The sequence below is a fragment of the Homo sapiens genome, chromosome 6 (assembly GCF_000001405.40).
Source record: "Homo sapiens chromosome 6, GRCh38.p14 Primary Assembly".
Lineage (NCBI taxonomy): Eukaryota > Metazoa > Chordata > Mammalia > Primates > Hominidae > Homo > Homo sapiens.
In genome coordinates this window covers 37,274,784-37,297,972 of record NC_000006.12, presented here as the reverse complement: position 1 = coordinate 37,297,972, position 23,189 = coordinate 37,274,784, and the positions used below count along the sequence as shown (strand labels likewise).

Here is a 23,189-nt window from a genome sequence, read left to right as displayed (position 1 = left end):
TGAGAACATGTGATATTTGGTTTTCTGTTCCTGTGTTAGTTTGCTGAGAATGATGGTTTCCAGCTTCATCCATGTCCCTGCAAAGGACATGAACTCATTCTTTTTTATGGCTGCATAGTATTCCATGGTGTAAATGTGTCACATTTTCTTTATCCAGTCTATCATTGATGGGCATTTGGGTTGGTTCCAAGTCTTTACTATTGTGAACAGTGTTGCAATAAACATACATGTGCATATATCTTTACAGTAGAATGTTGTTTTGATTTTTTAATAAACATACTTCTACTACAATTTTTTTTAGAAAGATAAGCAATAAGAAAGGCACTGCCTGCTTTAGAGCATTAAATATAATAGGTGAAGCCATTAGAAGTCCAAGGACAAGGATTGAAGTTGAGACACCACCAAGTCATATAGAGAGCACAGGTATTAAAGCCAAGCACAGGTATTTGAGTTCAAGAAGCTCATTAGACCCCTGAATCTTGGATATTTCACCTTATAAAATGGCTTGATACATCTACCTTAAAGAGATATTGGGCCCTACTAAAGGAAATCAGTATGTCCAAGTTCTTTGCAAATAGTAAAGTACTTTAAAAACCAGTGTAATGTTACTGCTTGGCCAGAAAAACAAGGGCTACAGCTACAAACTCCTAAGGGAAAGAGAGATGGATGGGAGCTGGAGGATTAAGAAAGACAACCAACTATAATACGCAGCTCTGATTTGGACCCTGATTCAAACTGTTGAATAGATTTATGAATACGACTGTATATTAGATTACATAAAGGAGCTATTACTATTTTTTAGATGTGATAATTGCATTATGGCTGTGTGTTTTAAAAAATGTCTTTGGCCAGGTGCAGTGGCTCACGCCTGTAATCCCAGCACTTTAGGAGGCTGAAGCAGGTAAATGGCTTGAGTCCAGGAGTTCAGGACCAGCCTGGGCAACATGGCAAAACCCTGTCTCTACAAAAAATACAAAAATTAGCCAGGCATGGTGGTGCAAGGCTATAGTCCCAACTACTTGGGAGGCTGAAGTGGGAGGATTGCTTGAGCCCGGGAGATGGAGCTTGCAGTGAGCTGAGATCGTGCCACTGCACTCCAGTCTGGGCGACAGAGTGAGACTGTCTCAAAAAAAAAACCAAAAAATTATAATATATATATATGTGTGTGCACGTGTGTGTATGTGTGTGTGTATACATATATACTTTTCAGAGATACATATAAAAAATTTATGCATAAAATGATACGATGTTTGACATTGAGATTTGCTTCAAAATAATTCACAATGGTGAGGGAGTAGAGAATGGAGAGAGGTGGTAAGACTAGGATCAGGCATGGTGGCTCATGCCTGTAATCCCAACACTTTGGGAAGCTGAGGCAGGAGGATGCTTGAGCTCAGGGGTTCAAGACGAGCCTCGGCAATGTGGCAAAAATTTATCTCTAAAAAAAATACAAAAAATTAGCCAAATGTGATGGCACTCCCCTGTAGTCCCAACTATCCAGGACGCTGAGGTGAGAGGATCACTTGAGCCAGCAGATTGAGGCTACAATGAGCCATGATCATGCCACTGCACTCCAGCCTGGGTGACAGAGTGAGACCCTGTCTCGATCAATCAATCAATCCAGCCTGGGTGACAGAGTGAGATCCTGTCTCAATTAATCAATCAATCAACAAATAAATAATACTTTATTTTTTATTTATTATTATTTTTTGAGATGGAGTCTCCCTCTGTTGCCCAGGCAGGAGTACAGTGGTGCGATCTCAGCTCACTGCAACATCTGCCTCCTGGGTTCAAGCAGTTCTCCTGCTTCAGCCTCTCCAGTAGCTGGAATTACAGGTGCATGCCACCACACCCCACTAATTAGTAAATAATATTTTATTGTTAAAAAGTGCTAACAATCATCTGAGCCTTCAGCAAGTCATAATCTTTTTGCTAGTGGAGGATCTTGCCTCAATGTTGATGGCTGCTGACTGACCAGGGTGATGGTTGCTAAAGGCTGGGCTGGCTGTGACAATTTCTTAAACAAGACAGTAATGAAGTTGGCCACATTGATTGATTTTTCCTTTCACAAAAGATTTCTCTGTAGCATGTGACTCTGTTTGATAGCATTTTACCCACGGTAGAACTTCTTCCAAAATTGAAGTTAGTCTCTTGCCTGCCACCATGTAAGACATGACTCTGCTCCTCATTTGTCTTCTGCTATGATTGTGAGGCCTCCCCAGCCATGTGGAACTTTGGCTGGGGAAGAGACCAGGGAATCGATGGATTTGGAGAGGAGCCAGGAATTAAATCTCAGCTAATGAACCTTATTTGATCTGTAAGAACCTTGATGACAGTGCCATTGATAATAGTAAACTCAACTGCAATTGTGTTTCTCTTATTATTTGGATGAATATCAGTGGAGGAAACGGAGACTCAGAAGACATGCCAGCAGAAGTTATTACTTCAGTAATTATTGGAAATCTTAGCTGGCTGACCTTGCACTTGACAAAAATGTAAAGCTTAAAATAAAACCAGACTTTCTATTTATCTGAAAAAAATAAAAAATTAAAAAATGAAGTCAATCTGGCCAGGTGTGGTAGCTCACGCCTATACTCTCAGGACTTTGGGAGGCCAAGGCAAAAGGACTGCTTGAGGCCAGGAATTGAAGACCAGCCTGGGCAACACAATGAAAACCCCATCTCTATAAAAAATAAAAAAATTGGCTGGGTATGGTGGCGCACACCTGTAGTCCCACCTACTCAGAAGGCTGAGGCAGTAGGATCACTTGAGCCCAGGAGTTTGAGGTTACAGTTTGAGCTATGATTACACCACTGCACTCCAGCCTGGGCAACAGAGTGGGACCCTGTCTCCAAATAAATAAATAAATAAAATTTTTTTAAAAATTGGAGTCAACCTTCTCAAATCCTGCCACTGCTTTACTAATTGAGTTTATGTAATATTCTAAATCTTTTCCTGTCATTTCAAATGTTCACAGCATCTTCACCAGGAGTAGATTCCATCTCAAGAAAGTATGTCAGCTATAGCTTTACTAAATAACTAAATATATTTCTTAAATAATAAGACTCATAAGTTGAAATGACTTCTTGATCCACAGGCTGCAGAACAGACGCTGTGTTGGCAGGTATGAAAACATTAATCTCCTTGTACATTTCCATCAGAGCTCTCAGGTGTCTAGGTTCATTGTCAATGGACAGTGATATTTTAAAAGAAATCTTTTTTTGTGAGCAAGAGGTCTCAACAGTGGCCTCAAAATATTCAATAAATCATGCCATAAACAGATGTGCTGTCATCTAAGCTTTGTTGTTCCACTTATAAAGCACAGGCAAAGTATATTTTGCATAATTCTTAAGGTCCCTAGGGTTTTTGGAATGGTAAATGAGCACGGGCTTCAACTTAAAGTCACCAGCTGCCTTAGCCCCTAACAAGAGTGTCAGCCTGTCCTTTGAAGCCAGACATTGACTACTCCCCTCTAGCTATGAAAGTCCTAGATGGCAGGCTGGCCATAGTGGCTACTACGTACTTGTAATCCCAACTACTCAGGAGGCCAAGATGGGAGGACCACTTGAACCAGGAATTCAAGACCAGCCTGGGCAACATACCAAGACCCCCCTCTCTACAAAAATTGTTTTTATAAAGTTAGCCGGGTGTGGTGGGTGTGCATCTGCAGTTCTAGCTACTCGGAGGGGCAGGAGGATTGCTTTAGCCAGAGTATAAGGTTACACTGTGCTATGATCATGCCACTGTCTCTTAAAAAAATAATTAAATTTAAAAAAGAAAGTCCCAGATAGCATCTTTTTCCAATAGAAGACTGTTTTGTCTATATTGAAAATCTGCTGTTTAGTGTACCGCCTTCATCAATGATCTTAACTAGATCTTCCGGACAATTTGCTGCAGCTTCTACATCAGCACTTGTCGCTTCACCATGCACTTTCATGTTATGGAGATGGCTTCTTTCCCTAAACTTCATGAAAACCAACTTCTCCTAGCTTCAAACTTTTCTTCTGTAGCTTTCTCACCTCTCTTAGCCTTTATGAAAGTGAAGAGAATTAAGGCCTTGCTCTGGGTTAAGCTCTGGATTAAGGGAATGTTGTGGCTAGTTCATTCTTCTATCCATATCAGCAATAAGGCTATTTTGATCTCTTACTATTTGTGTGTTCACTGGAGTAGCACTTTTAATTTTACTTCAAGAACTTTTCCTTTGCTCACAATTAGGCATGCTGGCACAAGAGGCATAGCTTTCAGTCTGTCTCAGCTTTTGACCTACCTTCTTCACTAAGCTTAATCATTTATAGCTTTTGATTTAAAGTGAGAGACATGTAACTCTTCCTTTCCCTTGAACACTTACAAGCCTTTGCAGGGTTATTAATTGACCTAATTTGAATATTGTTGTGTCTCAGGGAATAGGGAGGCCCAAGGAGAGGGAGATGAGGAAGGACCAGCTGGTGGAGCAATCAGAACACACACAACACTTATAAATTAAGTTCACTGTCTTAGATGGAGGCAGTTCATGGCACCCTGAAATAATTACAATAGTAACATCAAAGTTTGCTGATCACAGATGACCATGACAGATATAATAATAATGTAAAGTTGGGCCAGGCACGGTGGCTGATGCCTGTAATCCCAGCACTTTGGGAGGCCGAGGTGGGCGGATCACGAGGTCAGGAGATCGAGACCATCCTGGCTAACATGGTGAAACCCCATCTCTACTAAAAACACAAAAAATTAGCCGGGCGTGGTGGCAGGCGCCTGTAGTCCCAGCTACTCGGGAGGCTGAGGCACAAGAATCGCTTGAACCCGGGCAGCGGAGGTTGCTGTGAGCCGAGATCACGCCACTGCACTCCAGCCTGGGCGACAGAGCGAGACTCTGTCTCAAAAAAAAAAATAATAATAATAATAATAATAATGAAAAGTTAAAAATACTGTGAGAATTATCAGAATGTGACACAGAGACACAAAGTGAACACACGCTTTTGAAAAATGGCACTGATAGACTTGCTCAACACAGGGTTGCCACAAATCTTCAATTTATAAAAATGCAGTAACTACAAAGCTCAATAAAACAAGATATGCCTGTACCAAGATCAGAAAGCAGTCATATCTATCCCAGGAAGGCACACTGCTTGATGGGGTTGAGGTAGTAATGGGATGGGCACTTGAAGAAAGTGAAGACATGCTTGGAACAAAATATAAATGGTAGCTAAGAAGATAATTAAATAACTAATCAGAACTACAGCTGCTGAGGATTATTTTTAACTGGCATAACACTGTTAGCAAGATTTCATGACAGCATTTAGACTTCAAATGTAGATTAATGAATGGATTAATACCATCCTAGGCTCATTCTTCAATACTATTTTAGAAAATTACTACTGCAAGAAGCAACTAAAAAATCACAACAGATCAGCTGAAATGCTCTCTTGATAAAATTATACAACACACAGCAGAATTACGCTGCTTCCAAAAGTTGATCTATTAAGGCGGGGGGGTGGGGAGGATATGTAAAAAGTCCTCTAGAAAAAGCTTTCTTAGTTGCCTTAATTCTTAATTTTCTGAGATCGCCTCATGAAAGACCTCATCATCCCTTTGAGCCCCATCGCAAAACCTGGATAGGATAGGCCAAGTGAGACATTTCTTATGCTCTCCTCTCCAAAGGGTTCCACTCTCACCCATTTCTCATTACCCAACCCTCTAACCCCTCCAAATGGCTTCCTCCAAAAACCACAATCATCCACTACCCTCAGAGTCTAAAGAAAATGGTTTTAGTTCTAGCTCTGCCTCTAATAAGGAGACAGAGAATCTCACAACTTCTCAGTGAAATGAGGGATTACATGAATGGCTTTCTAAGATCCTTTCGATGTTCTTATTCCTACATGAGGTTCTCCTTACCTAAGGAAACAAAGCATCAGGCCATGGCAGATGGGTTTTCCTGTGACTCTCTCAGCACAAGTGATTAAGGAAACCAAAACAGAGAAACACAGGATCCTCAACTCCTTTAAGACTCTGCTTAACTTAGGCTGGCTGGCAGAGGCTGGGACTACAAGAAAACCCACCTGCTGCCATGAAATCTAATCTCTCTCCAAAGTGACAAGAACCCAATGGGGTGAGAGGTGAAGAAGGAGTGGGGAGAAATCAAGGTCCTGGAGTCCTCCTTGGCCCATTCCATCACTTCCCGTATGTGCTGTGTTCTGGTGCCACAATCTTTTGTCCTCTGCACGTCCACATCCTGCTCCTAAGATACAGCAAGTGAACTGGAGTGTGCAGGCTTGATGTCCAATCTAAAATTCCAGTTTACATGGATGAGGGCCTATGTCGGAAACAAGTTCAAAATAATCCTAAAATAATCTCAAATAAACCATCAAACCACAAAACATATCAATGTGGTCATTCTTGTGACAAAGCAGGTCTTTTTAGGTGAGATCTGTGACCATCTTAAGAGATAAATTCCAGGCAGCAACCGCTGTTAAAAGTAGTTTTAGCTGTGTATGCCAAAGGCACTCTCTATTTTCTAGCAAGACATACCTACTGGCTGGACTCTTGGGAAAAACAAACAGACAGACGGCAGATAAGAAAGAGCAATAGCTTGTTCAGCTTGGTACTAATGCTTCTTACCCACATATTCTGAGAGGAAGACGACAAAGAATGGAGTGACCAGGTCATTAATTCCCTGGACATACCCACTGGCAGGGTGGCGGATGGCCCAAATAAATAGAATTCTTTCAAAGATCTAGGAAAATGAGAAAGAAAGACACGAGTGTTAAATCACGGGGACACACACTCCTTCCCTCCGTTTACCTACTTCACAATTTACCTCCAGGTTGGTGTAGAATTTTTAGGAAAATTTTAAGATACTGTGGGATAAAGAAGTATATAAATGCAAAAAGTTTCTAAATACACTAATTGTTTTCAAGTAGGGGTAGATACTTCTTGCCCTTTATTCATTTTTTCATTATCTGGTCACCACAATATAAAATTGGGAGAAGGAAAGAACAGCAAACCCAAATGCCTTAGAAAACATTTGGGATGAATGCTGTTAATTCAGGCCACCACATTCTCATCTGTAGATATGGTTTCCTATTTCCAAGAGCAAGATATCAGGACATCCCAGTTCTGATGCTTTTTTCTAAATTTTTTTTTTTTTGGTCATTATAGGATTTAGACAGGAAATACCTTTTCTACCACCCTCCCCTCTCCCTGCCTGAGAAGAAAGGTGGTCTTGATTTAATTCTAACCCAGCCTGACTAGGACCAAGTGACAGACTGCACATTGCAGGAAGTCAGTTCACATATCAGGATACAACTCAGATGTTTGCTAAGGATAGGAAGTCAAACAAAATCCTATGGACTCCTATAGCTGGGAATTTGAGAACAGAGAAACCAGCCAGGGCCCCATGGGAAAGGCCCTGGGGTTTAGCATATTAGCCATAAGAAGCCAGAGGCCTACACTGGGGACAAAGGAAAGATCTTTATGGTCCCTTTACATAATCATGCCCTGTCCCACTCAACTATACTCCCCTCGCTTTCATTAGGCCCTCTGAGCTTCTCCCCATCTTCTCTCAACCTGATAATACCCATTGCCTGGTTTCATCCTGGTGACCACAATTCCCAAGTCTGACACATTCTTGAGACTGGCTTTGACTGGGCTGCCTCATGCCTCTGAGAACCACACCAGAGAGATGGCAGAGGTGATGTGAGTACATGCAGATGATAGGGTAGGAGATTAGAAAGCATGTGGACTTGGGAGAATCTCAGCCAGTCACCACTGCATCAGATTGAAGAGGCCCTCTCAAGCAGGTGGAAGGCAGAAAAACCTCCCAGGGAGACCAACAAACAGGAAATGGTTATATGGTTTTTGGAGATGGTTATCTAGTGTAGGAGGGACACAGAGAATCTAGAGACATAAAGGATGCTTCCCAGCCTCTCTGTCATAGATCGTTGTGCCTACAGCGGGCAAACAGAGCTGAGAAACGGTTTCTTTCACTGTCAACACTGCTGCCTTCATAGGTAGTGAGAACAAAGCCTTTCCTGGAAGGGAGCTGGCCTCTCTGCCTTCACTAGACCTACCCATTTGCTTTGTGTAGTTGAGGAAAAGGCATAGCACCCTCATTTGCATTCGGCCCAACACTCTAATGGGAACGCTCTTACACTCTATTTCCTCTCTGTTGCTAAATGATCCCTCTATCTTGAAAATACAGCCAAAGCTAGAACCATCGTTTTCAGGAAAATCTCAATAATTCCCTGCCTCACTCTCTTTCTTTGCACTTCTTGTGACCTGGGTCTGTCTAGATGCCTCTATTAAAAAGCTCCTCCAGGTTGGTCTTTCCAAAGGACTTAGAAGGGCTTCTACTCTATAGGATCAGCCCCTTGTAAATACTCAAATCCTTGGCGCCTGGCTGTAACAATGGCCAAGTACATGGAAGCTAGCTGTTCAGAATCAGGAGACCTGTGATCATCCTCTCTAGTCAGGGTGGAACAACACAGACACACTCACATGGTACAAGTGAAGTGGTCAAAGAGATGGAAACTGAAGAGCACCAAGCCTGGTAATCAGGGGAGACCATGGGATGTTCGCTATAGAAAAAGTCTGGGATAATCCTGCCTTATAGAGAGGAGTGGATAGGAGAACCGCTGGAGGTCTTCCAATGTCTCTTCTACTAGTGTGGGTAATTCTTACATACTATAGGCAATTATCAAGTATCTTTCAGGTTTTCAAAGCAAGCCTTTCCGTATTCAGTGTTACTTAGTTCTTTGCTTCTTGGTTGGCATTTTTACCAGCCTGGATGGTGGCTCACGCCTTGTAATTCCAGCATTTTGAGAGGCAGAAGCAGAAAGAATTGCTTGAGGCCAGGGGTTCGAGACCAGTCCTGGGCAACAAAGCAAGACCCCATCTCTACAAAAAATTATGAGAAAAAAAATTAGCCAGGTGTGGTGGTGCATGATTGCAGCCCCAGCTACTTGGGAGGCTGAGGCAGGAGGACTGCTTGAGCCCGGGGAGTAGAGGTTGCAGTGAGCTATGATCATGCCACTGCACTCTAGCCTGGGTGACAGAGTGAGACCCTGTCTCTTAAAAAGTTAAAATAAAAAAAATTTAAAAGATGACTGTAGCCTGCTAGATGAAATGGTCATTCAGGAAAAATTGGGGAGAATAAAGTTTGAGTTCCCATATTGTATTCAGGATGCACTACTAAAAGAAGCCACCACCCCCCAACCTCTTTTTTTTTTTTTTTTTGAGACAGGATCTTGCTCTGTCACCCAGGCTGGAGTGCAGTAGCACGATCATGGCTCATTGCAGCTTTGACCACCTGGGCTCAAGAGATCCTCCCTCCTCAGCCTCCCAAGTAGCACAGGCACAGTAGCACAGGCACACACCACCATGCCTGGCTAATTCTGTAATTTTTTTGAGACAGGGTCTTGCTATGTTACCCAGACTGGTCTCAAACTCCTAGGCTCAGGCTGGTCTCAAACTCGTGGGCTCAAGCAATCCCTCTGGCCTTGGCCTCCCAAAGTGCTGGGATTATAGGAGTGAGTCATCACGCCTGGCTGAGAAGCCTTTTAAACTGACTACTTTCCTCATCTCCAAATTCAGAGTAAGCATGCACAGGTAAAAGAAAAGTCTCTGAACATCTCCAAGTTAAAATGAGGAATAAGCAGTGCTGAGCCATGGAAAACTGTATGGGAGGATAAAGGGATCATGAATGGGTTTTTAGCTTCCTGTGAGCTGAATCTTATAGTTAAAATAATGATGTTACCTTCAAAATCTTCTTTATGCTATGGGTAAGACATGAGGGACCCCACCAGTGGAGACATCTATATTTAAACAAAATTATAAATATAACCCAAAGTCAAATAGAAATTATTTTCAGCATTTTAACCACCATCCCTCTCTACTATGAGAACTGAAAGTTCCGTTAAAAGAGCACTAGTACTTAGTGTCCTGGCTACTGTAAAGTTGCAAAGGAAATCCCTAATCTTAAGAAGTTTACAGTTACTGCTTGAGTCAAAACATAATAGCCCCACTGACACCTTCCATGTACTTCATTAACTTGTTAGGTCTCAAAATATAACTACTACTCCCACTTCTAAATATATACCCAAAAGAATTTAAAACAGAGACTCAAACAGATATTCACATACCCATACTAGCAGCAGCATTACTCACAATAGCCAAAAGGTGAAAGCAACCCATGTGTCCACTGATAGATGAACAGCTCAACAATATGTGTTACATATGTACAACGGAATATTACTCAGCCTTAAAAAAGGAAATTCACACATGCAACAACAGGGATGAACCTTAAAGATATTATGCTAAGTGAAATAAGCCAGTCACAGAAGGACAAATATTGTATGATTCCACTTATTTGAGCTGCCTGGAGTAGTCAAATTCTTAGAGACAAATAGAATGGAGGCTGCAGAAGAGAGTTAATATTTAATGGATACAGAGTTCCAGTTTGGGAAGATGAAAAATGTTCTGGAAGTGGATGGTGATGATGGTCATACAATAACGTGACTGTACTTAATGCCACTGAACTGTACACTAAAAAATGGTTAACACAGTAAATTTTATATTATGTATATTTTACCACAATTTAAAAAATCACTACTTCCAGCTTGATAAAGTAGAGCAAATACAGGAATAGGAATTCTAAGATGTGGGTTCTTCATTCTGCCACCAGGTAGCCTCAAAATTCTGAGCAAGTTCCTTAGCCTTTCAAAGTGTTATTCCGCTCACAGATTTGTAACAAAGATCAAATGAAAATGTATGAAACCATGCTCTGAAGGAACCAAAGCTGCATATATGAACATAAGGTACTATTATGATTAGCCGCAAACCTGTAAACAGGTGCCACAGAACTATGCGGGGAGAAGCGCCAAAGAACATTAAGTAATTCCCTCACCTCCTGTACAAGTGGTTGCTGGAACAACGGAATGAGAGGATTCGTCCTTGGAATGTCAATGTGAATCTGAAAAAGAGAAGGCATGTCCAAAAACACAAATGCCAGTTTTTTTTTGTTTTTGTTTTTTTGAGATGAAGTCTCGCTCTTGTCCCCCAGGCTGGAGTGCAATGGCACTATCTCAGCTCACTGCAACCTCTGCCTCCAGGGTTCAAGCGATTCTCCTGCCTCAGCCTCCCAAGTAGCTGGGATTACAGGCACCTGCCACCAGGCCTGGCTAATTTTTGCATTTTTAGTAGAGACGGGGTTTCACCATGTTGACCAGGCTGATCTCGAACTCTTGACCTCAGGTGACCCACCCGCCTTGGCCTGCCAAAGTGCTGGGATTGCAGGTGTGAGCCACCGTGCCTGGCCCAGTTTGTTCTTTTGACAATTTTTTTTTAAAGAAATGGGAATCATCTGGCTGGGTGCGGTGGCTCACGCCTGTAATCCCAGCACTTTGGGAGGCCAAGCCGGGCGGATCATGAGGTCAGGAGATCGAGACCATCCTGGCTAACACGGTGAAACCCTGTCTCTACTAAAAATACAAAAAATTAGCCGGGCGTGGTGGCGGGTGCCTGTAGTCCCAGCTACTCGGGAGGCCGAGGCAGGAGAATGGTGTGAACCCGGGAGGTGGAGCTTGCAGTGAGCCGAGATCGGGCCACTGCACTCCAGCCTGGGCGACAGAGCAAGACTCTGTCTCAAAAAAAAAAAAGAAATGGAAATCAAAGTAGTAAGAAAACACAATTTATCTTCAGAAAGAAGTGACTGACACAGGAAAAAAATCTAGTTATACCTACCTGCCCATGTGGAACATGTTTCCATGACAACAATAGCTTATTAAACAGTGAGGAAACCTCCCAAAAGAAACCACTAAAGTCAAATGGCAATAGGCTTCACAGATTAAGGGTTTTTTCTTATTGCTCTGAAGTCTGTTTCACTCTGGGCTGGCATGTATGTAGCAGGTATGATCCAAGTAGGTACCCATCTTTCAGAATCTTACTCATCAACAGTTCCTAAGAACTAGAAGAGCTCAGAAAGCTGCAAAAATGTCCTAAAATAGGGAACCAGAGATGAACTTGCTTATGAAGTCATGATGTGTAAGAAGCGGGGAAGGGCCAGGGCGATGGCTCACGCCTGTGATCCCAGCACTTTGGGAGGCTGAGGCGGGTGGATCACTTGAGGTCAGGAGTTTGAGACCAGCCTGGCCAACATGGTGAAACCCCGTCTCCACTAAAATTACAAAAATTACATGGTGGCTCATACCTGTAATCCCAGCACTTTGGGAGGCCAAGGTGGGTGGATCACCTGAGGCCAGGAGTTCAAGACCAGCCTGGCCAACATGGCGAAACCCCATCTCTACTAAAATTACAAAAATTAGCTGGGTGTGGTGGTGTGCGCCTGTAATCCCAGCTATCCAGGAGGGTGAGGCAGGAGAATCGCTGGAACCCAGCGGACAAAGGCTGGAGCAAGCCGAGATTGCGCCACTGCACTCCAGCCTAAGTGACAGAAAAAGACTCGGTCTCAAAAAAGATAAAGAAAAAATTAGCCGGGCCTGGTGGCACATGCCTGTAATCCCAGCTACTCAGGAAGCCGAGGCAGGAGAATCACCTGAATCCAGGAGGTGGGGGCTGCAGTGAGCCAAGATCACGCCACTGCACTCCAGCCTGGACGACAGAGTGAGACTCCATCTCAAAAAAAAAAAAAAAAAAAAAAAAAAAGTGGGGAAGGACCAAAAGGAGTTGGCCTTCAGTAACTGAAGCTGAAAGTTCTTACTTCTGTTACCTAAGACATCACTATAGTCCATTTCAACTCAGGGATTTCCCAGTGCCCAGTCTAACTATGCAAAAGACTGTGTCAGCAGCAGCAGCAGCAGAGGCTACTTCAGTTCTTGAGGCTTGTTGTAAATAGCTGCCCACCTTCCACTTTCTGCAACCCCTGGCCTACTCTTCTCCTCCCTCCACATGTGATGTTGGGAGCAGACCTTTCCGCAGACCATGAGGACCATTATGGGCAATGACAGAAGACTCCCTGACAAGACTACTGAAAGCTACAGCTCCTACAGTCACAGATGCCAAAACAGCAGTGCAGCTGCCAGGAAGACATACTGATGTCATAGTCCAGAGGGACTGGACCACGGCTAGGTAAGCTTGTCTTTCCTCTCCATGCTCGATAACGCTTACTACTCACAGTGTGGTTGGTGGACCAGCAGCAGCAGCATTGCAAGGGAGCACATCAGAACTTCAGGCTTTACCTGAGACCTGCTAAATCAGAATCTGCATTTTCTCATAATCTCTAGGTGAGATCTTATCAAGATCCTAGGTGATTTGTATGTACATTAAAGTTTGAGAAGCAGTGCACTGACTAGTGCCAAAAAAGTCTGTCTATTTAAAATGGCTAAAATCAGAGTTGCTGAATGAAAAGAGGGGAAACAGTTTTGAGGATAAATTTAACTCCTAACCAATATACCACAGCCTGAAGACTTGGAAAGCCTGTACCCTGAGAGCACTACCATGAGACATACCTAAAGTATATGACTGGTAAGCAAAGAGGCAGCAGGTGGTGACTGTACCTGTCTGTAGGTATCCTGGTGATGTTCCTCGTTTCGAGAGTCATAATACTGTTCAATGAAGCCAAAATATTCCTCCCGCTTCCGCTGCAGGGTCAACTTCCTCCTCTCAGTGTTTGCTGGGAGATAGCCCTATAGACAAGACTGCTGGTCAGATGGGGAAAGACAATGGTTGGATAAATCCTTAATTTTTATTTTAATCTATGCAGTGGTTTGGAAACTACCAAGAAGGAAAACTGCCAAGGGTAAATCCCTTTTTGGTTCTGGCCACCCATTTTTTGCCCTCTCCTCATTCAATGAGATCCACATGTGAGCAGATGAAGCAAGGCCAGCTTTCCCAGGATTATTTACTCCCTTGGCCCTGCACTGTGCTGGAGCTTGTGCCACTGGTGAGCACTCCTCAGCTCCCAGAGCTGGCACAGTACAGCAGTGAATGTAGGTCAGTGGGAGGGAGCTGGACCCAAGTCATGGCCTCGGAGGGCTGTGTGTGTCCAGGGCCATACTTCTGAGAAATGCAGGGATATAGCAACCTCTACAGCACATCTCAGCAGTGTGCCAAGTAAGTTGGTGCCAGTTACATTCTTTTCCAGTGTAACTTTCAGAATTACCAGCTTAGGAAGCAGCTGAATGGAATCTGTGACATACAGCTACAACACTCAGACAGAACTTCTGGCAGCAGCCCCCGGCCTAGCCAAAGCTCCAGGCCAACTTTCATTCTTATCCCTGGTCTAGATCCCACTCTCATTCTTATATTTTCTGTTCCCCTTCCGTTCTCACCAAATCTACTCTGAATAGTATTCAAACTTATTAGAAGTGGCAGAGGCAATGATTGCATGGTTGCAAGAGTAGAGGTGGGGGCGAGCAGTCAGGAGACAGACCCTTCTTCTTGAAAACATTTATGTAATGCATTCTGCAGTGAGTGCCTGGAGAGTGGGGACTGTGGTTTATTCATTTTTGCATCTGCTCAAAGCATCTGGCACTATGCCTGGCAAACAGCAGGCTCTCAATAAATCCTCACTAGATGAATGAATGAATTTTACAGGCTCAGGAAACCCAAGTGTTTCTATCATAGCGGCTGGCACAGTGCTCTGTACTTGGTGAAAGCAGGACTAGTAAAGCTTCCAAGGGAGGCCAATTTATCAACTCTTCACAGATCAAAGTGGGTTTCAACTTTTGGTTATTCCGGCTGAAACAGGAGTGAAGCACAGGGAACGTTGGAGCTTACTCAAAGCAAGTGCTGGGATCACCCTATCTCACTCTATTCTTCTTCCTCGCTGTTAAGAACATGACACCATGACTATTGGTACAAGTCTGTGTACCACTACATGTGTGTGAATAAACTCTCAAGAATGTATTTCTTTATGCACAGAAATAGGACTATAGTCCCATAGTTCTGTCATATCCAGTAGGACTAGAGAAGTCTATGGAGTTAAGACCAATGTGTCCAGACTAACCTCATCAGGCAAGAAGGGCTGTGTGAGGCTCACATTTCTCTACACAGTGGGTAGAACTCACCGACAGGAGTCTCCAGGTTATAGGTCGAACCTCCCTGGGAACCCCTGGCCAGCTACACTTCCTCAGTTCATCTGTAAATAGAAAACAGCCTTGTTAGGTTAACTCTCCACAAATGCTCTAAAGCAAACCGCAACCAGCACTGCCTGATGTCTCCTTCCATCCATGTAAGACCACCACCACCACCTGCTACCCATAAGCACAGTGAAAAGCCCAAAACAGCCCCGAGCAGCTAAGTGCCAAGGACACGGCCTTGCAGTAGCAGTCCTGTCAGCTCAGAGATGAAAGTTAGAGGGGAAGGGAAAGACCAGTGGGTGTAGATTTCAGTAAGAGTCACCTTGAGATAAGGAAGACCAAAGTCAGAATAGTTGCACTAGGGTCTACAGGCCACAGAAACCAGTCCCACCTAATTTGGTCCATAATCTCTAGTAACATATGTCTGACTTAATACCTGCATGTCACTGCAATGGGCACCAGGTCAGGAGAAGCTAGAAAAGTAAAAGAAGGAAGAATAAAGAGCAGTAGCTTCCAGGTCTCTGAGAATTCCAGTCACCCAAAGCTCCTACCTTGCCTGGGCTCACAGGGACTCACCTAAGTCAGTGTTCTGGCTGGAGAGAAGTTGACGGAATTTTTCTAGGCGGGTTTTCTCCCGGACAGTCATTGGGGGGGCCCCAGAAGCGTTCTGATCCGAGATCCGGGCAACGAGGGGGATGATGGGCCGGAGAGGGAGTGATTGCTGTTTGTGGAGTGGGTTCCTCAGGCATGTATCACCTGAGATCATTTGAAAAAGAAAGAGAACGGGCTGTGTGAGGAGTATGGATTCTGAGAAGCCTTAAACCTAACCGTTCAGCATTGTGTTTCCTCCCCAAGGGTGTGGCTGCCTGTGTGCACTGTCTGAGGTGCCCAGCTGAAGGGCAGCGAGGGGCCAGAACCCAGCCACACCCCATTCACTGCCCAGAGAAAGGGCTGCATTTATATCAAACACACCAAGGCACCTTAGGTGGTAACAGAGACGCCAGATGCTGCAGCAACTTTTGAGAACTTTTTTGGTGACTCTAAAGGTGCTAACAGAGACTCCAGATGCTGCAGCAACTTTTGAGAACTTTTTTGGTGACTCTAAAGGAAAATCAAATGTTTTCTTTCTACCCTAACTTGGAACTTTTCTTGGTGCCAAATAGTGAGTTTAGTTTAGTCTAAGGCAGTGTTTTCCTTCCCATTCCACACCACAGAGCACATAAGGAATGATGACACTGCAGATGACACCACAAAGCACAAGGCTGCAATAAATGGAGGTGGTTGCTCTCCACAAGCCCCAGAACCCCCAGCTGCTCCAAGGACTAAAAGGATCAATATCCCCGCACATCCTGTACCCGGTTCTTGGCCCACCAGTGTGCCCTGCACAATGGTGAGAAGCTCTGGCCTAAGGCAATCCTGCCTTTGGTGGCTGCGGTTCCTTTGTGCTCCTACATTTCCCACCAAAATCAACCAGTTCTTAATTCTGCCAAGATATGACTGAAATAACAAACAAAGACTCAAACTGAACTCTGTCTTGTTCTTGACATTTCTACACTAGATAGTGGGTAGGGGGAATAAGCAGTAGAGGACTCACGTATATTGAGTGCTTCATATGTATAAGGCATATAGGTCACTTTTACATATGATCTCTCATTTGATCCTTAGAACATATGGTAGGAATGTATAACTATTTTACAGACAAGAAACTGCAGCTCAGGGAGGTTAAATAACTTGCAAGTGAGAAGTGAAAAACCACCTTAGGTAAGCCTGACTCTAAAACTCTTGTATTACCACAAGCAAAACTCAGTTTTTAATTCTAGCTGTGCTTACATGACTGTTTCATATTCTTTACACGGCTGGGCCTTAAAAAGTAGTAGTCACAACAAAAATTAAACAGTGACTATCAACCAACCAGCACTACTAGAAGGTTTACAAAAACAACTTCCACGAGGCAGTTGGCTGGGATGCCTAGTGTAACGAGGGGACTAGAAAATGCAGACACACACTGCAAAGCTGAGACAGAGGTAAATTTCATATTACCTATTTACAGACAGATGCAGTGACTATCAACCAACCAGCACTACTAGAAGGTTTACAAAAACAACTTCCATGAGGCAGTTGGCTGGGACGCCTAGTGTAACAAGGGGACTAGAAAATGCAGACACACACTGCAAAGCTGAGACAGAGGTAAATCTCATATTACCTATTTACAGACAGATGCCGGCAGGAGAAAACCTCCTCAGGGAGAATGCTCTGGGCTGGGCGGGGGAGGTCCTGGCTGCACAGGGCAGCTCATCATGGATCACGGTAGGGGCCTTCCTCACACTGGAAACCTCTGGAGACCCTCCATCACAGTGTGTAGACACCTTCCACGGCCTGCAGCTGTGGCCACCTGGTCCAGTAACACTGAATGCCTATCTGTGCATGGCACTGAAGGTTCATGCTAGAGCCCAAATCAGTGATGGAAAATAACTGTGCAATGATTGCAAAGACCTTACAGCCACGAAAAAGTTCCCTCAGAACATGAGCCAGGGTACACTCCAGGGCTCTGATGTTCTTCTACTTCCTTTTCATCCTGTACCAGCTCACTGCTTTAACTCTCACTGCGATGACAAAGCTTCCCTCTCCAGCTCCCAACATACTTTATAAAACCCATTAGGGCAACATTAAACATAACCATGAATATTTAAAGGAATACACTGAGAGTCCCCAAAAGCTAATAAAACCACCAACACATCAACCATTACTGTGGCCAGTTTCCCGAAAAGAAACAGAGAGGCCTCTACTTCTACCCCACCCAACCTGATGGGACCTGCCTGATGGTCAGGAAGCTGGGACCTGGGGCCTTTAGGCACATTTGCTCCCTCCCTCAGGAACAGGAAAAGACAACCTTATGCTAGTGGCTGTTCCCTAGGGCTGAGAAAGTCAAACCACAGTGCCAAACAATTGTGAAATTCAGCCACTAACAGCTTTAAATACATCAGTTACTATTTCTAAACCTGACCAGGCCTAAAGCAATGTGAAGCAATCAAACCAGAGAAGTTGTGGACTCCACCACAGGGAAAGGAAGAAGAGAAGAGGAGAATGGCAAACAACACCTGGGTGTCAGAGAGTGAAGGCCCAGGTCACCAGACTGGGCAGCCACCACTGTGGGAGGGGCAAGTATAGCTTGTGACCACTCAGGCTTAATGATGTCACATCTCAGGCTTGAGTTTATTTACCGCCCAGTTGAATATCTACCTGAGTGAGGCCCCAAAGAAAAATCGCTTTTATTTAAAATGCACGCTGCTGAGAAGGCTGAGGCTATGAAGGGAGCAGGAAGGACTTACTAGAGTTTCTGGACAGCTGGGCATCACTGCTGGACTTTATGACCTTGTAGTTGGCAGGGACGTCCGATGTCGTTGACTGGGACCGTTCTGGTTTTACTCTCAGCTTGCTGTGGTTTTCTAGAACTTGGGCTGCAGTTGCCAAAGCAACTTTTGAGTTCAGAGTTTGGAAAGAAGGTGAGGAAAAGTCCTCTTCCTCATCATCGCCAATGTCCCAAGCATCACTGGTATTCCGTGCAAACTCATGAAAACTGGAGGCCTTCTTATTCTTCAGAGGAACTGTGTTGACTTTTGATCGTTCTTTAATGAAACTTCAAGAAAGGAGACACGATTACCAAGGAATGGCCTGACACATCTGACCACCTACATTTGCTTATTATTGTAATATTAATAAATTACAAACTACCACATACATAATCATTAGCTTCTTCAAACAAAAATTGCCCACATCCATTCTTCATCTAGATACATCCAGACCAGCCTGAGATCGCAGAGACAGATGTAGCAGAGACAGCAATGGTCACCAAATATCCCATGTGCTCTTGTATACTTCCTGGCCCCCATACACTTAGGTGAGGCCATATGACCAATACCGGCCAATGGACTGAGGAGAAATGAGGCGATTACTTCCAGGCAAAGTAGAGAATAGGTGTCAGTTCTGTATAACCTCTCTCTTTTTTTTTTTTGAGACAGAGTTTCTGTCACCTAGGCTGGAGTGCAGTGGTATGATCATGGCTCTCTGCAGCCTTGACCTCCTGGGCTCAAGTGATCCTCCCACCACAGCCTCTTGAGTAGCTGGGACTACAGGTGTACACCACGATGCCTGGCTAATTTTATTATTATTTTTTGTAGACACAAGGTTTCACTATGTTGCCCAGGCTGGTCTTGAACTCCTGGGTTCAAGTGATCCTCCCACCTCGGCCTCCCAAATCGTTGGGGTTACAGGTGTGAGCCACCATGCCTGATCCATAGCTTTTCTTCTATCATGATGCACTGGCAAGATGGTAGAACCTCCTTCAGCCTAGGTAACTGAGTGGCTATGTGGAGCAGCAGTAACTATGTCGAGGAGCCTGCCCTCTGCCCTTACCCCACCCCCATTTTAGACATGTAGCATGAGCAGGAAATAAACCTTTACTATGTTAATCCACAGAGATTTGACAGTTGATCTGCTATCACTTAGAGCAGCACATAAACTACTGGCAGAAAACAAGATAATTTTAGGTAGTCCACATATGTAGCATTAAACATTAAGTCCCAAAATAAAAAAGTTGTTCCATTTTTTATTCTGTTAAAAGTTCTTCTGCTGGCCTTGAGAAGAAAGTTGAAGTTTGGTGCTACTCTGTCTTTAAGACCATTTTCTAACTAGGTGCCAAAGTGACGGCAGCCTCAGAATCAATATATTTGCTAGCAACAAGATCTGCCTCTGGATTTAATAAGATTGTTTGGTTTTTCACTGAGTATTTATATGGTTCTTTTCTTTTAAGAGTCAGGGCCTTGCTCTGTCACCCAGGGTGGAGTGATGGAGTGCAGTAGAGAAATCTTGGCTTACTGCAGTCTTGAACTCCTAGGCTCAAGCAATCCTTCCACCTCAGCTTCCTGAGTAGCTGGGACTATAGGCGCACACCACCATGTCTAGCTTTTTTTTTTTTGAGAGATAAGGGTCTCATTATGTTGCTCTCGCTAGTCTCAAACTCCTGGCCTCAAGTGATCCTCTCACCTGAGCCTCCCAAATTGCTGGGATTACAGGCATGAGCCACCACGCCCAGAAGTTCTTCTTATTTATAACAAATGTTGTTTTCTATTTATAGAAATGATAATATTTGTTCTTAAAACAAGACTATTTGAGTGGCCAGGCACAGTGGCTCACGCCCGTAATCCCAGCACTTTGGGAGGTGGAGGCAGATGGATCACTTGAGGTCAGGAGTTTGAGATCAGCCTGGCCAACATGGTGAAACCCCATCTCTACTAAAAAAATACAAAAATTAGCCAGGCATGGTGGCGCATGCCTATAATCCCAGCTACTCGGGAGGCTGAGGGAGGAGAATTGCTTAAACCTGGGAGGTGGAAGTTGCAGTGAGCCAAGATCACACCACTGACTCCAGCCTGGATGACAGTGTGAGTGACACTCCGTCTCAAAAAAAAAAAAAAAAAGAACTATAGGAGACAAGTACCCAAATCAAAGAAAATAAAACTGAGGCTGCACGTTCTGGACTCATCCACCATGGCTGCTTCTCCTTTGTAAAAGGGGACCTGATCTACCACCTGCAGTACCACCTCAGGGGATTCGCTGTCGAGAACAAACATGCAGCTGTGTAAGAAAGATCTGTCATCTAATATAACACCCAGGAGTATGTGGTTATTACTGTTTTTCCTCCTTAGAGGCCACGTGTACATTAAGATTGCATAAATACTGGATGTTCTGAGAATTCTTTAATCAATCATCAAATCAAGAAGTTGAATTTTAACTCAGGTCAAAGAGCTGACTTGAAGCTGGTGGCCTAACACAGGGTGACACACACGCACACCAGGACCGGATGAACACACTACAGGGAGAGACGGGCCAGGCTGCCTGTCAGGTTCTAACAGGTGCTGACTTCTGAGAAAAATGAAGGCCGTTAACCAGCTGAGGGGTGGGTACCAGGGTGTGTGTTGTATTTTTCTTCATACGCTTTTTATGCATTTGAAGGTTTTCGTTTTATATATATATATATTTTTGTTTGTTTTGAAAAGGAGCCTTGCTCTGTCACCCAGGCTGGAGTGCAGTGGTGCGATCTAGGCTCACTGCAACCTCCACCTCCTCGGTTCAGGCGATTCTCTTGCCTCAGCCTCCTGAGTAGCTGGGACTACAGGCACGCACCACCATGCCCAGCTAATCAGGCTGGTCTCAAATTCTTGACCTCAGGTGATCTGCCCTCCTCGGCCTCCCAAAGTGCTGGGATTACAAGTATGAGCCACCATGCCTGACCAGTTTTCATTATATTTTTGAAGCAGATAATGATTCAATATATATTTGAAGTAGATTAAGATTGGAATTTACTCAAATGAAGACTTGCCAATAGAAACTGGGAGGACACTTTCCAACACAATGAAGAAGAAAGAAGGGAGAAAAGGCTGTCATTCCCCATGACATAAAGACATGAGATTCAAGGCAGACCATTTTGAGGCTGCTAGAAATGATTTTAAGGATACCTAGCCCACAAAACCCCAAATTCAACCAACCAATTTAAAAGTCAGCTCTGTCCTGAGGAAAGAGGCTTTCGTGGAGGAAGGGGTTGGTTTCACCTAGAAAAGGGGAAGAGTCTGAGGACAAAACAAGGTTGGTGAGAACCACCCACAAGAATGAAAGAGAAGGCTGGGCATGGTAGCTCATGCCTGTAATCCCAGAACTTTGGGAGGCTGAGACAGGCAGATCACCTGAGGTCAGGAGTTCAAGACCAGCCTGACCAACATAGTGAAACCTCATCTCTACTAAAAATACAAAAATTAGCCAGGTGTGGTGGTGCACACCTGTAATCCCAGCTACTCAGGAGGCTGAGGCAGGAGAATCACTTGAACCCGGAAGGCAGAGGTTACAGTGAGCCATAATTGTGCCACTGCACTCCAGCCTGGGTGATAGAGCAAGACTCCATCTCCAAAAAAAAAAAAAAAGAAAAAAAGAAAAGAATGAAACAGCAAAGCAAGAAGTGAAAGGTACTTTGGGTTACCACTGAGAGAAGGCAGAGAATCCACAGACCAGGAGCAATAAACAATGATGGGTAAATTTAAGGCTTTGAAGCTTTTCCATGTTTACTAGTTATGCTCTCTCCAGAGGAGATACATAAATTCACAAATAAATACATATAAATATTGGCTACTCACTAGCCATATTCATACATATTCATAATATTCATAAATATTGAATACTCACCAGACCCTATGCTAAATTTTAATATATACCCATTTTCTTATCTAATGCCCATTAATAATCCTATGAGGTGGGTATTTTTGTTAGTCCCATTTACAGATGAGGGAACTGAAGCCTACTGAGATCATGAGCAGGCAGTGAGGTCTGGGCTCAAATCCAGGTCTACCTGACTCCTGGGCCAGCATGTGCTACTAACTACTTACTTTACCTTGAAAAAAGCAGCTAAAAAGAAGAAGGTCAGGGCCTAGAAGGATCTGCAGCCTAGGAAGAGAAGTCGCCAAGTAAACCAAGCCACATACCACCACAGCTATAATTCTCCCCAACTATACACAGCCAAAAGCCCAACTCTCACACCCTGTAGGAAAAAAAAAAATCTCAACTTGTAGGAAAAGACTTAGGTCTGACACACATAGCCTATTCTGAGTAGACAGGAAAGAAGCCACATCTAGGCATGGGCTCCTTGTAAGAGAAATGTCACCCCTTTCTGTTGACCCCAGTAGTTGCAGCAAAAAGTTAATCCAGGTAACTCCAGCTGGGGATGCCTTCGGTTTATATACTCCATTTAAACACAGTCCCAGGTAGTTTACACTTAACTCAATGTAAAAGAATGCCACAGTGTGGCTTGAAGTCTAACCAAGATTATTTATTATTATTATTATTAAGATGGATTCTCGCTCTGTCTTCCAGGCTGAAGTGCAGTGGTGCAATCTTGGCTCACTGCAATCTCCGCCTCCGGGTTCAAGCGATTCTCTTGCCTCAGCATCTTGAGTAGCTGGGATTACAGGCGCATGCCACTACGCCCAGCTAATTTTTGTATTTTTAGTAGAGACAGGGTTTCACCAATGTTGGCCAAGATGGTCTTGAACTCCTAACCTCAGGTGATCTGCCCACCTTGGCCTCTCAAAGCGTTGGGATTACAGGCGTGAG

At 44.0% G+C, this 23,189-nt stretch overlaps 1 protein-coding gene across 6 annotated transcripts in view, besides 3 other annotated features; it reads right to left on the bottom strand.

The window, feature by feature from the left end:
* Positions 1–23,189, bottom strand: part of TBC1D22B (TBC1 domain family member 22B) — a 75,199-nt gene that overhangs the window by 34,998 nt on the left and 17,012 nt on the right. For 4 of the 6 annotated variants that reach the window (NM_017772.4, XM_011514738.4, XM_011514739.3 and 1 more), the window contains exons 3-8: positions 18,362–18,669; positions 15,609–15,788; positions 15,021–15,091; positions 13,509–13,637; positions 10,901–10,966; positions 6,616–6,730 (exon numbers count right to left, since the gene is read on the bottom strand). In NM_017772.4, coding sequence (NP_060242.2) covers positions 6,616–6,730; positions 10,901–10,966; positions 13,509–13,637; positions 15,021–15,091; positions 15,609–15,788; positions 18,362–18,669 — 869 coding nt within the window. Of the gene's footprint in view, positions 1–6,615; positions 6,731–10,900; positions 10,967–13,508; positions 13,638–14,959; positions 15,092–15,608; positions 15,789–18,361; positions 18,670–23,189 lie in introns of all 6 variants that reach the window. The other 2 variants (NR_130108.2, XM_047419001.1) reach the window with 2 other exon arrangements.
* Positions 9,994–10,053: a silencer, noted in NCBI's record as "silent region_17137". NCBI's record gives its function as "represses an Ori minimal core promoter by ATAC-STARR-seq in GM12878 lymphoblastoid cells {active_cell/tissue: GM12878}" and the evidence as "EXISTENCE:reporter gene assay evidence [ECO:0000049][PMID:35858748]".
* Positions 10,094–10,183: a silencer, noted in NCBI's record as "silent region_17136". NCBI's record gives its function as "represses an Ori minimal core promoter by ATAC-STARR-seq in GM12878 lymphoblastoid cells {active_cell/tissue: GM12878}" and the evidence as "EXISTENCE:reporter gene assay evidence [ECO:0000049][PMID:35858748]".
* Positions 11,845–11,894: an enhancer, noted in NCBI's record as "active region_24456". NCBI's record gives its function as "activates an Ori minimal core promoter by ATAC-STARR-seq in GM12878 lymphoblastoid cells {active_cell/tissue: GM12878}" and the evidence as "EXISTENCE:reporter gene assay evidence [ECO:0000049][PMID:35858748]".